This window comes from Homo sapiens, chromosome 15 (assembly GCF_000001405.40).
Source record: "Homo sapiens chromosome 15, GRCh38.p14 Primary Assembly".
Taxonomy (NCBI): Eukaryota; Metazoa; Chordata; class Mammalia; order Primates; family Hominidae; genus Homo; species Homo sapiens.
Genome location: NC_000015.10, coordinates 75,130,936 through 75,143,202, shown reverse-complemented (window position 1 = coordinate 75,143,202; position 12,267 = coordinate 75,130,936). Strand labels below are relative to the sequence as shown.

The following is a 12,267-nucleotide window of genomic DNA, read 5'->3' as shown; positions in this document are numbered from 1 at the left end:
TTGTTCTTTTCTTTCTTTCTTTCATGGCTCTCATGGTTCCTATCTCTTCTTTATATACAGTGTTAAATGTTAAGGATGTTGTTGCAAACCACAGATATTACTGGGTAGAATGAGCATTTGGCTTAATCATCAAAAGTATAAACTGGAAGGTTAAGAGTAGCACAGATGAGGTAAAGTGTGCCTTGGTATCTGCAAGTAAATTCATGGCAAAAATGTCCCTGTCATTTCCTTGGTTGCCAATGTAGTGCCAAGCACCATGAGACACAGAAAAGACATCTCATATTCCTTTGCACAAAGCTGTGGCCAAATTATGTTCTGCAGGGCGGAGAAGCTTGACCTCAGGAAGGAGGCACAGCGCAGGTGAGCATGACTAATTCCTGCCAACTAGGCCCTCCTGCTTCATGGATGGAAGTCATGCTCACATCCATGGCATAGAGAAGGTATAGGGAACCCAAAGGTTACCAACAGCAGGAGGATAGGGTGGCACATAGGTAAGTGCGAATATCCCTACCCATTAGGCCTCCCTGCTACATGGGTGAAGGTCACACTTGCACCCATGGGTGGCACCTGCAAAGTTTCTGCAACTTGGGGATATAAGATCAGAAGAAAGAAAGGGATGCCTTTTTTTATCTTCCTTATGTACCCTGGGTATTCACTGGAAAGAGAAAGGAACAAAGGGACATGTTTTTCCCCTTTCCAGATGGGTAACCAATCATTTTCCGCCTGCACTCCTCACGAGTGCATCCTAAATCACTGGAATTCCTTTGAGCCTCAGACTCTGGAGAAAGAAAAAAAGAGCTGTTTCCTTTTTTCCTCCTTTGTCTTCTTTTCACTGACGGGTAATTGCATCACTATGCCCCAGGATACTCCCCTCAGATGCATCCCCCAAACTGGGAAGAGTTTAATTTCCCCCAAACCTTAAACTACTTGGCAATCTCCTGAGGAGGGCCAACTTTTCTAAGCCTGTTTCCCTTCACAGGACTTCAGGGTCAAAGGGCTTCTTCCTATTCACTGGGAGTTAAAACATCCTCTTTCTTTTTAAGCAATATAAGTTGCTTTTTTTTTTTTTTTTTTTTTTGAGACGGAGTCTCGCTCTGTCGCCCAGGCCGGACTGCGGACTGCAGTGGCGCAATCTCGGCTCACTGCAAGCTCCGCTTCCCGGGTTCACGCCATTCTCCTGCCTCAGCCTCCCCAGTAGCTGGGACTACAGGCGCCCGCCACCGCGCCCGGCTAATTTTTTGTATTTTTAGTAGAGACGGGGTTTCACCTTGTTAGCCAGGATGGTCTCGATCTCCTGACCTTATGATCCACCCGCCTCAGCCTCCCAAAGTGCTGGGATTACAGGCGTGAGCCACCGTGCCCGGCCATAAGTTGCTTTTTGTATTGTAGTTGGCAAACAAACATATAAAGGTAAAGTGACAAGTCTATGTTGGTTTCCCCAAGTTTATTTTATTTATTTATTTTTCAAGACAGAGTTTCGCTCTTGTTGCCCAGGCTGGAGTGCAATGGCGTGACCTCAGCTCACTGCAACCTCCACCTCTCGGGTTCAAGTGATTCTCCTGCCTCAGCCTCTGGAGTGGCTGGGATTACAAGCACTGCCACCATGCCCAGATAATTTTTTTGCATTTTTAGTAGCGACGGGGTTTCACCATGTTGGCCAGGCTGGTCTCAAACTCCTGCCCTCAGGTAATCCACCTGCCTCGGCCTCCCAAGATGCTGGGATTACAGGCATGAGCCACCACTCTCAGCCCCTCAATTTTAAAGAAAGTGGCTGCTCTGTGAACATGTAACTGCCCAATGGGTTCACCTTGCCCACTGCCTAGATAGAGCCGATTTATCAAGACAGGGGAACTGCAATGGAGAAAGAGTAATTCACACAGAGCCAGCTGTGGGTGAAACCAGAGTTTTATTATTATTCAGATCAGTCTTCCCAAGCATATGGGGATCAGAGTCTTAAAAGATAATTTGGTGGGTAAGAGCTTGGGAGGCGGGGAGTGCTGATTGGTTAGGTTGGAGATGGATTGAATAGGGGATTTAAGTGATGTTTTCTTGCTGTCTTCTGTTCCTGGGTAGGATGGCAGAACTGGTTGAGCCAGATTACCAGTCTGGGTGGTATCAGTTGATCCATCCAGTGCAGGGTCTGCAAAATATCTCAAGCGCTGATCTAGGTTTTACAATAGTGATATTATCCACAGGAGCAATTTGGGGAGGTTCAGACTCTTGGAGCCAGAGGCTGCATGACCCCTAAACCACAGCTTCTCATCTTGTAGCTAATTTGTTAGTTGTGCAAAGGCGGGTCCTAGGCAAGAAGGGGGTCTTTTCAGGAAAGGTCTATTATCAATTTTGTTTCCGAGTCAAACCATAAACTGAATTCCTTCCCAAAGTTAGTTCTGTCTATGTCCAGGAATGAACCAGGACAACTTAAAGGTTAGAAGCAAGATGGAGTCAGTTAGGTCTGATCTCTTTCACTGTCATAATTTCCTTAGTTATAATTTTTGTAAAGGGTGTTTCAAACCCCCCTCCTTTCCCCTGATCTTGGCCCTATGAGGCCCACTCTCTTGATGTTATATGCCCCTGGAGAAGCCACAAGTGACACCTAGCCAGCCTTGATGAGAGCTGGCAAGTTCCAGGCACTGGGGGTGGGCGCCCAGGAGACAACAGCTGGAAGGGAAGGCTCTGGTAGAGTTGTGGCCCCTTCCACCTCCGGCTCTCTGTCCCTGCAGGGGAAGACACAGCTCAGGCTGACAGCAGCTCAGAGGGCAGCTTTGAAACCCAGCAGGGAGATAACAGAAGACAAAGAAACCAAAGTCTCCCTGATAACTCGCCAGGAAGCCAACACAAAACAAAACATAGATAACAAGCGGACTGCCTCTCTCAAGGCCAAACTGTTTTAAAAGAGAGTCCTGCTGTGGACGTTGGGCTTAAAGACTGTGCAGCTGATAAAGTGATCCCTTTGATGGGGAGCTAAAGAGATAGATGAGGCTCCACCAGCATGGTTTGGGGACCTCCAAAGAAACTGTGCTCCTAGCTGGACAGCAGCTAGGCAGCTGGATACCTCCAGCCCTCTGAGTTTTGGCTTCATTCCCTAGGGTCAAGGCGAGGTCTTCCTATTTCAGTTTTCCCAGTTAGCCTAAAGTTGTTTTAGTTTTGAAGTTTATTTTATTATTATTATTATTATTATTATTATTTGGAGAGAGTCTCGCTCTGTTACCCAGGCTGAAGTGCAGTGATGTGATCTCAGCTCACTGCAACCTCTGCCTCCCAGATTCAAGCAATTCTCCTGAATCAGCCTCCCAAGAAGCTAGGACTACAGGCATGCACCACCACACCTGGCTAATATTTTTCTATTTTTAGTAGAGATGGGGTTTTGCTGTGTTGTCCAGGCTGGTCTTGAACTACTGAGCTCAGGCAATCCGCCTGCCTCGGCCTCCCAAAGTGCTAGGATTACAGGCGTGAGCCACTGTGCACAGATATATTTTTTGTGTGTGTGTGGTGGGGGGCTGTGGGTGGTGATGTTGATTTTAAACAAAGCCAAGGAGATGATGTTTCTACAAAATGCTCCATCAAGTGTCTTTGAACCAAGGAGGGCCTTTGAGGCCATATGGTATAATGGAGAGCTCCTGGCCTTGGCTTCAGACATATGTCCCAGGACCCTGGGCAAGCGACTGGCTTTTCTATGAGCCTTGGTGCTCTCACTGGGGCAATGAAGACGATAAGCCCAATGGAACAGGACTGGGTGAGGATCAAGCGATGACGGATAGTGCTGGGTGCAGTAGCTTATGTCTGTAGTCCCAGCTACTTGGGAGGCTGAGGTGGGAGGATCACCTGAGGTCAGGAGTTTGGGTCTGCCGTGAGCTGTGATTGCGCCTGTGAATAGTCACTGCACTCCAGCATGGGCAACAGAAGGAGATCCTCTTTCTCAAGCAAACAAACAAGAGATGAAAGATATGAAGTGCTCAGCTAGTACTGCCCTTAGCTGTGGCATGGGGCCCTTGTCTAAGCCATATGCTTTAGAGAACCTCACTGTGGTCCTCTTCTGCTCCTCGGCCCATTGGGACTAAGGCTTGAACCCATGTGGAGCCCACGACCTTCTTCTAGACCCCAAGCCCACTTTCCAGAGCTCAGCTGGCCTCCAACCCACGTTGCTTCCCAGGACATGAACAGGCAGCAGGATATGAACTTCTAGGCCCAAAGGATGGCCAATGGGGGCTGTTTGTGCAAAGGGACATGGGGAGGGTATAGAAGTTTGTACAGGCATTCTGCAGCTCCCACACACGCGAACCCGAGGCTGCTCCTGGTGCAGGATGGAGCCTGTGATCAAATACATTCCAGTTACAGTTATGTAACAAAACACCCCAAGGCTTAGTGGCATGAAACAGCAACAATCATTATATTATTATGCCTCAGGGACTGAGGCACGCCAGGGATGCCTTGCCTAAGCCTCCTTCCCTGTGTCCCCCTTCCAGGAGGGGAAACCGGGGGTGGGAGAGAGGGCAGATTGGAGCCATGTGGCCAGATGGTTCTGCAGGAGGCATTTTCGGTTTCCGTGGGGATGCTAGGAACGCCAGTCCGGAAGGAGGGAAAGGTGCCTTCAGCATAACAAGACCCTCCACAGGGAAGGGGGCAAGGTCATGAGAATGGAGGAAAGCGAGGGCCTCAAGCTAAAGGACACACCCCCCTCTGGGACCTTTGGAAGAAAGAAGTCCTCCCAGAGGGAAGGAGAGTTTGCCCTCAGGTCCTTAAAAGGAGAAAAGGCAAAGCAGTCTGGCTGGTAGAGAAGCCACTGGCTGGGAGGAAGAACGCATCATTGTCTCCAACCTCAGGCCAGACGCATCCCACCAGGGGAATCCCAGACACCCAGGAGGCCTCCCAGGGGCTGGACTGGGCTTTAGTTTCTGAAGGGATTGATAGCCAGTCCTGGCAGGGGGAGTTGCAGAGACAGCAACTCAGGAAGGTTAGAGAGAGGGCTGGGCATCAGCGGGGAGTGGGGAGAAGAAGTGGGTCAAGGAAGGAGGGCGTCTCCGCATAGGCACCCCAGAAGGTCCTGGCTGTGAGAGAGAGCCCCCTTCTCCGAGAGGAGTTAGTTCTCCAAAGGCATAGCCTAATCCGCCATATCCATCCAAGCGCGCAGTTTGCTTCTGTTCTCAGGCTCTGGGCAGCTTTGGGACGGAAAGGGTTCCTTTCAGTGGGCTGTGCTGCCTGGAGGCAGCCAGGACCAGGTCTGGGCAGGTCTGGTAGGTGGCAAGGTAAGTGAAGAGGGGCCACTTTGCTCAGCGAGCTGAATAGCAAAGGCCTACACGGGATTGCCAGATTTACCAAACAACAATACAGGACTCCATTACATTTGAATTTCAGATAAACATTGAATTTTTTTTTAGGATGAGGAGGTTCTATGCAGTATTTGGGATATACTTATACTAAAAGAGTATTTGTTATCTTAAATCTAATTTTAACTAAGCTTTCTATATTTTATCTGGCAGCCCTAGGCCTGCCCCACTAGGGTCCCCAGTTGCCCCTCACAAGGACCATCCCCAGACACCCTTGCCCTAAAGCATAGAGACCCAGGACCTTGGCAACAGAAGGAAGTGGCCTTTTTTGGTGCATTCTAGAATTCCTGGCAGGCCTCCCCTCTCCCCAGCACCTGCCTCCATTCCTTCCGCACACATTTTTAGGTCTGGCACCAGAGATCCTATGGCAGAGTAAGCCCTGGGAGGATGCTAGGTGAGTTGCAGTGCATCCCACCTTACTTGTGTATCTGCAGCCCTTCACTAATCATGGCTGCAATGGCCTTTTCTTGGAGGAGTCAGAGAGATTGACTGTGGTACTTGGGCTTAAAGAATGCTTGGGAGAAAATGGAGATGGACGCAGGGACAGAAACGCATGCAAATACGTTCTGGGAATCCCAGTAACTTCTGTGGCTTGACCTGTGTTTGGATAAAGAGCGAGGACATGCCAGTGGCAAAGAGGCAAAGGCCAGTCACTTAAGGCTTTGGATCTTAGGCCAAGGCATCTGTACTTTACACTCAGCAGTAGAGAGCCATGGAAGAGGTGCTTTAAAATTGTTTATTTGGGTGTGGTGGCTCACACCTGTAATCTGAACACTTTGGGAGGCCAGGTGGGAGGATTACTTGAGCCCAGGAATTTCTGATCAGCCTGGGCAACATGGTGAAACCCCAACTCTACAAAAAATACAAAAATTAGCTGGGCATGGTGGCATGCACCAGTAGCCCCAGCTACTCAGGAGGCTGAGGCAGGAGGATCAATGGAGCCCGGGAGGTCAAGGCTGCAGTGAGTTATGATTATGCCAGTGCACACCAGTCTGGGTAACAGAGCAAGATCCTGTCTGAAAAAATTATTTATTTGTTGGTTAAAGTAAGTAAACAAGTAATACAATACGGAACAGCAGTGTTGTCAAAGTATGGCCTATGGACCCTGGAGGTCCCCAAGATACTTAGAGATCTGCAAGGTCAAAACTATGTTTATAGTAATACTCAGACATTCTATGCCCTTTTCATTCAAATGATGTGTTATCATTTGACTGACTGCTTGAGAGCAATGGCGAGTGAACGTGTCATTGCTTCAACACAAGTTAAGGCAGTAGTGCCTGAGAGGATCAAAATATGCCACTCCAAAATAAGCCACTTTGGCAGAAGAACTATTTTGAGTGGAATGCAACTGGGAATCAACAGTTGCAGGATGAGTTCTCTGCTTTCCTCTTAGCTGCAAAAAACAGGGCATAAATTTCCCTTTGTGAATACCAAGATGATTTTGCATAAACAGACCTTACTAAAATAACCTCTATCGTCCATTCGTTCCCCCATATATTTCCTAGCCACTTCCCCACAATTTGTCACCCTTGATGCCCAAACCCTCTTTCCTTTGTTAAAATGTTGTGTAAGTCCCCATGTCTAATGACTTCTTTGAGTTTCAGTTCTTTTCTGTGAACTCTCATGCAGGTAAATATTCATAAAAGTTGTGTGCCTTTTCTCCTGTTATTCTGTCCTTTGTCAGTTTAATTCACAGACCTCTAATCAATGAACCTGAGTGCAGACAAAACGTTTTTCCTCCCTGACACTGCAGCCTTGACATCCTGGGCTCAAGCGATCCTCCCACTTCAGCCTCCAATTAGCTGGAACTACAGGCACGTACCACCACATCGGCTATTTTTTTATTTTTTGTAGAGACGGTGTCTCAGTATGTTGCCCAGGCTAGCATTGTATTCTTCATTGCCATGTATTTGCAATTTAAAAACATTTCATTTATGAATGACCTTGATGGAACAGTAAAAAATACTTTTATTAACTCTCAATCTGTGAGCAGTATATATCTTTCTATGCTTGATATTTTGTGTGATGAAAGGAGGAGTATGTAGAAAGCACTTCTGCTGCTTACCAAAGGATGATGGGCTTCTCTAAGGAAAAGCGCTTGTGTGATTGTCTGAGTTGTCAGCCAAACTAGCTGCTTTTTTCATAGAACACCATTTTTACTTGAAAGACTGACAAACTATGGTTATTCCGACTGGTATTTAGCAGACATTTCTTAACAATAAATAAAGTGAAACTGTCACTCCATAAAAGCAACTGACAGCATTTGTTGCCAATGATAAAATTTGAGCTTTCAAGCAAAAGTTAGAATTTTGGAAAATGTGTATCCACCATTGTGAGCTTAACAAGCTTCTAAGTACTTAAACACTTTTTTTTTCCTTTCTTTTCTTTTTTTTTTTTTTGTGTGAGATGGAGTCTTGCTCTGTCACCCAGGCTGGAGTGCAATGACATAATCTCAGCTCACTGTAACCTCTGCCTCCTGGGTTCAAGCAATTCTCCTGCCTCAGCCTCCTGAGTAACTGGAATTACAGGCACACGCCACCACACCTGGCTAATTTTTGTATTTTTAGTAAAGATGGGGTTTCACCATGTTGGCCAGGCTGGTCTTGAACTCCTGACCTCAGGTGATGTACCCACCTCGGCCTCCCAAAGTGCTGGGATTACAGGCATGAGTCACCGTGCCCAGCCTTACTTAAACAATTTTCTTATGAGATTAGTAGTGATATTAACACACATGATTTTTCAATATTGTCTAACAAAATGTGTCAAAAATTGGATGATCTGCATAACTCTATCAGTACTTTCCAAATGACAAATGCATAATGTTACAGAACTACACTCACATAAAAGATTCACTTAAGGTACAAGACAGGGCTGAGTATAGTGGCTCATGCCTGTAATCCCAACACTTTGGCAGGTAGAGGTGGGAGGATCACTAGAGGCGAAGAGCTGGAGACCGGCCTGGGCAACATAGCAAGACCCCATCTTTATTTTAAAAAATAAAAAATTAGCCAGGTGTGGTGGCACACACCTATAGTTCCAGCTACTAAGGAGGCTGAGACAGGAGGATTGCTTGAGCTCAGGAGTCTGAGGTTGCAATGAGCTATGATCAAGCCACTGTACCCTAGCCTGGGTGACAGAGTGAAACCCTGTCTTAAAAAAAAAAGTGGGGGGACAAGAGAGAGCAATGGCTTTTGTTTTGTTTTGTTGTTTGAGACAGAGTCTTGCTCTGTCACCCAGGCTGACGTTCAGTGGCAAAATCTCGGTTCACTGCAACCTCTGCCTCCCGGGTTCAAGCAATTCTTGTGCCTCAGCTTCCCAAGTAGCTAGAATTAGAGATGTGCATCACCAAACCCAGCTAATTTTTGTATTTTTAGTAGAGGCGGGGTTTTGTCATGTTGGCCTGTCTAGTCTCAAACTCCTGGCCTCATGTAATACGTCTGGCCTCAGCCTCCCAAGGTGCTGGGATTACAGGCATGAGCCACGGCGCCCAGCCGGAACAATGAGTTTTAATGTAACAGTATGAATATGTCATTGCTATGGTTTCAGATTCTACATTGCTTTGAGAAACTGCTGCTTGTCCAGTCGATGTGCTATCAAAGAATACCCACAAAAGGCTATTTAAAGTCTCTTTTTTCTAACTACATATCTTACTGACATGAATTTTCTTCACATACTCCAACCAAAACAATGTATTCTGATAGATCGAATGCAGAAACAGATATGAGAATGAAGATTTTTCAATTAAGTCAGATATTAAAGAGATTTGCAAAAATGCAAAACAAAGTCATTTTTCTCACTAAATGTTTTTGTTTTGGAAAGGATAGTTACTTTTTACAAAACTGTCATTTATATTAACATATAATTGCTTTATTGTTGTTATTTCCTTTCTTTTTTTTTTTTTTGTTTTTGAGACAGGGTCTTACTCTGTTGCCCAGGCCGGGGTGCAGTGGCACAATCTCGGCTCACTGCAACCTCCGCATCCTGGGCTTAAGTGATTTTCCAGTCTCAGCCTCCTGTGTAGCTGGGACTACTGGCACACACCACCACCACACCTGACTAATTTTTTTGTGTGTATATATATATATAATTTTTTTTTTGAGATGGAGTCTTGCTCTGTTGCCCAGGCTGGAGTGCAGTGGCACCATCTCGGCTCACTGCAAGCTCCGCCTCCCGGGTTCACACCATTCTCCTGCCTCAGCCTCCCAAGTAGCTGGGACTACAAGCGTGTGCCACCACACCCAGCTAATTTTGTGTATTTTTAGTAGAGACGGGGTTTCACCGTGTTAGCCAGGATGGTCTCGATCTCATGACCTCATGATCCACCAGCCTTGGCCTCCCAAAGTGCTGGGTTTACAGGCATGAGCCACCACGCCCAGCCTAATTTTTGTATATTTTGTAGAGATGGCATTTCACTATGTTGGCCAGGCTGGTCTCGAACTTCCGAGTTCAAGTGATCAGCCTGCCTTGGCCTCCCAAATTGTTGGGATTACAGGCACGAGCCACCTCGCCTGGCCTATTGTTATTTCTAAATGAATTAATATGTAAATATTTTTTAAATTTCTTAGCTTTAATTTCTGATAACCCTCATTAATGAAAATGTTTTTGGGGACACTGAGTAATTTTTAGAGTGTAGAGGGGTCCTGAACTTTGAGGGGTTCTTCAAACGCAGAACTTTGAGAACCACTACAAAACAGAGTGAATTAACTTTCCATCCCACTACACAATCTCAGCCTGCTGAGACAACTACTGTGGTCAGTGTACTATGTACCCTTTCCTATATTGTATGCCTTTATACCCAAAAGGTATCCACAATTTATTTATTTTTATTTATTTATTTGTTTGAGACAGGGTTTCGCACTTGTTGCCCAGGCTGGAGTGCAATGGCATGATCTCGGCTCACTGCAACCTCTGCCTCCCGGGTTCAAGTGATTCTCCTGCCTCAGCCTCCCAAGTAGCTGGGATTACAGGCATGTGCCACCACACTCCACTAATTTTTTGTATTTAGTAGAGATGGGGTTTCACCATGTTAGTCAGGCTGGTCTCAAACTCCTGACCTCAGGTGATCCACTCGCCTCAGCCTCCCAAAATGCTGGGATTACGGCGTGCACCACCGTGCCCGGCCAGGTATTCACAATCCTGTACCTGGCTTTTTTCCGTAGGAAAAGAATAGACCATGGAACCCAGCCCATATCAGCGTACATACGACTGCTCCAAGTTTTCCTGGCTGGATTGTGTGCCTATTATATGGACGCAATGTAATCTATTCAACCATCCTGCTGCTGCTGGACATTTAGGTTGGTTCTCATTTTTTAACAAGTTCAGGCCCAGCGCGGTGGTTCACGCCTGTAATCCCAGCACTTTCGGAGGGTGAGGCGGGCGGATCACAAGGTCAGGAGATCGAGACCATCCTGGCTAACACGGTGAAACCCCGTCTCTACTAAAAATACAAAAATTAGCCGGGCATGGTGGTGGGCGCCAGTAGTCCCAGCTACTTGGGAGGCTGAGGCAGGAGAATGGCATGAACCCAGAGGTGGAGCTTGCAGTGAGCCGAGATCACACCACTGCACTCCAGCCTGGTCAATAGAGCGAGACTCCGTCTCAAAAATAAACCAGTTCAAACAATTATGTAATGAACATCCTTGGAAAAGTTTTAAGCAGGTAAGTGATAGGATCAGATTTGCTTGTTTAAAATGTCACTCTGAATATGTAAGCTGCTGAAATCTGAACAAGATCTATGGATTGTATCAATATCAATTTCCTGGCTGTGGATATTGTACTATTGTGCAAGATGTTGCCACTGAGGAAATGAGAAGGAAACCAGGTGAAGAGTACATGGAATCTGTCTATATTATTTCTTATAATGCATGTGAATCTATAATTATCTCAAAATAAAAAATTTAATTAAAAAATTGAGGCCCGGCATTGTGGCTCACGCCTGTAATCCCAGCACTTTGGGAGGCTGAGGCAGGTGGATCACCTGAGGTCAGGAGTTCGAGACCAGCCTGGCCAACATGGTAAAACCCCTGTCTCTACTAAAAATACAAAAAATTAGCCAGTTGTGGTGGCAGGCACCTGTAATTCCAGCTACTTAGGAGGCTGAGACAGGAGAATCACTTGAACCCAGGAGGCAGAGGTTGCAGTAAGCTGAGATTGCGTCACTGCACTTCAGCCTGGGAGACAAGAGCAAAACTCTTGTCTCCAAAATAAAAAAGAAAAAAAACACACGTATTAGGATAATTAGTATCAAAATAACAGAAAATAACAAGTGTTGGCAATAATGTGTGAAAACTGGAATGCTTCTGCACTGCTGGTGGGAATGTAAAATGGGGCAGCTACTATGGGAAACAATATGGAAGTTCCTAAAACACTAAAAATAGAACTATCCTATGACCCAACCATCTCACTTCTGGTTTTACAGCCAAAATAATTGAAAACAGGATCTCAAGGAGATATTTCCACACTATGCTTACAGCAGCACTAGTTGTAATAGCCAAGAGGTCAAAAGCAACCCAAGTGTCCACTGACAAATGGATAAAGAAAATGAGGTATATACATACAACGGAATATTATTGAGCCTTAAAAAGGAAGGAAATTCTGACACATGCTACAACATGGTTGAACCTTGAGAACATCTTATTAAGTGAAATAAGCCAGTCCCCAAAACACAGATACTATGTGATTCTACTTACATGAGTTGTCTATAGTAGTCAAATTCATAGAAACAGAAAGTAGAATAGTGGTTGTCAGGGGCTGGGGAGAGGGAAATACAGAGGTGTTAGTTTCATGGGTATAGTTTCACTTTTGCAAGCTAAAAAAATTCCGGAGAGCTCTTCCATAACAATGCGAATTTAACTAACGGTACTTAACTCTATACTTAGAAATGGTTAAGATGGTAAATTTTGGCCAGGCACAGTGGCTCACGTCTGTAATCCCAGCACTT

The 12,267-nt window shown here is 45.9% G+C and overlaps 1 long non-coding RNA gene across 1 annotated transcript, besides 5 other annotated features; it reads right to left on the bottom strand.

Annotated features, from left to right (window-relative positions):
• Positions 389 to 589: a silencer, noted in NCBI's record as "peak2388 fragment used in MPRA reporter construct". NCBI's record gives its function as "represses an SCP1 promoter by STARR-seq MPRAs in K562 erythroleukemia cells {active_cell/tissue: K562}" and the evidence as "EXISTENCE:reporter gene assay evidence [ECO:0000049][PMID:32103011]".
• LOC124903530 (uncharacterized) lies at positions 1,890 to 12,267 on the bottom strand. The gene is made up of 2 exons (XR_007064721.1): positions 12,017 to 12,267; positions 1,890 to 4,311 (listed from the first exon to the last, which is right to left on the bottom strand). It is a non-coding gene; the product is annotated as an uncharacterized LOC124903530 (long non-coding RNA).
• Positions 2,495 to 3,186: an enhancer, noted in NCBI's record as "OCT4-NANOG hESC enhancer chr15:75432358-75433049 (GRCh37/hg19 assembly coordinates)". NCBI's record gives its function as "activates a minimal SCP1, AML or CMV promoter by ChIP-STARR-seq in naive and primed H9 embryonic stem cells {active_cell/tissue: H9 hESC(naive and primed)}" and the evidence as "EXISTENCE:reporter gene assay evidence [ECO:0000049][PMID:30033119]".
• Positions 2,661 to 2,955: an enhancer, noted in NCBI's record as "tiled region #10472; HepG2 Activating DNase matched - State 5:Enh". NCBI's record gives its function as "activates a minimal TATA promoter and a strong SV40 promoter by Sharpr-MPRA in HepG2 cells {active_cell/tissue: HepG2}" and the evidence as "EXISTENCE:reporter gene assay evidence [ECO:0000049][PMID:27701403]".
• Positions 11,758 to 12,007: an enhancer, noted in NCBI's record as "active region_9837". NCBI's record gives its function as "activates an Ori minimal core promoter by ATAC-STARR-seq in GM12878 lymphoblastoid cells {active_cell/tissue: GM12878}" and the evidence as "EXISTENCE:reporter gene assay evidence [ECO:0000049][PMID:35858748]".
• Positions 12,178 to 12,237: an enhancer, noted in NCBI's record as "active region_9836". NCBI's record gives its function as "activates an Ori minimal core promoter by ATAC-STARR-seq in GM12878 lymphoblastoid cells {active_cell/tissue: GM12878}" and the evidence as "EXISTENCE:reporter gene assay evidence [ECO:0000049][PMID:35858748]".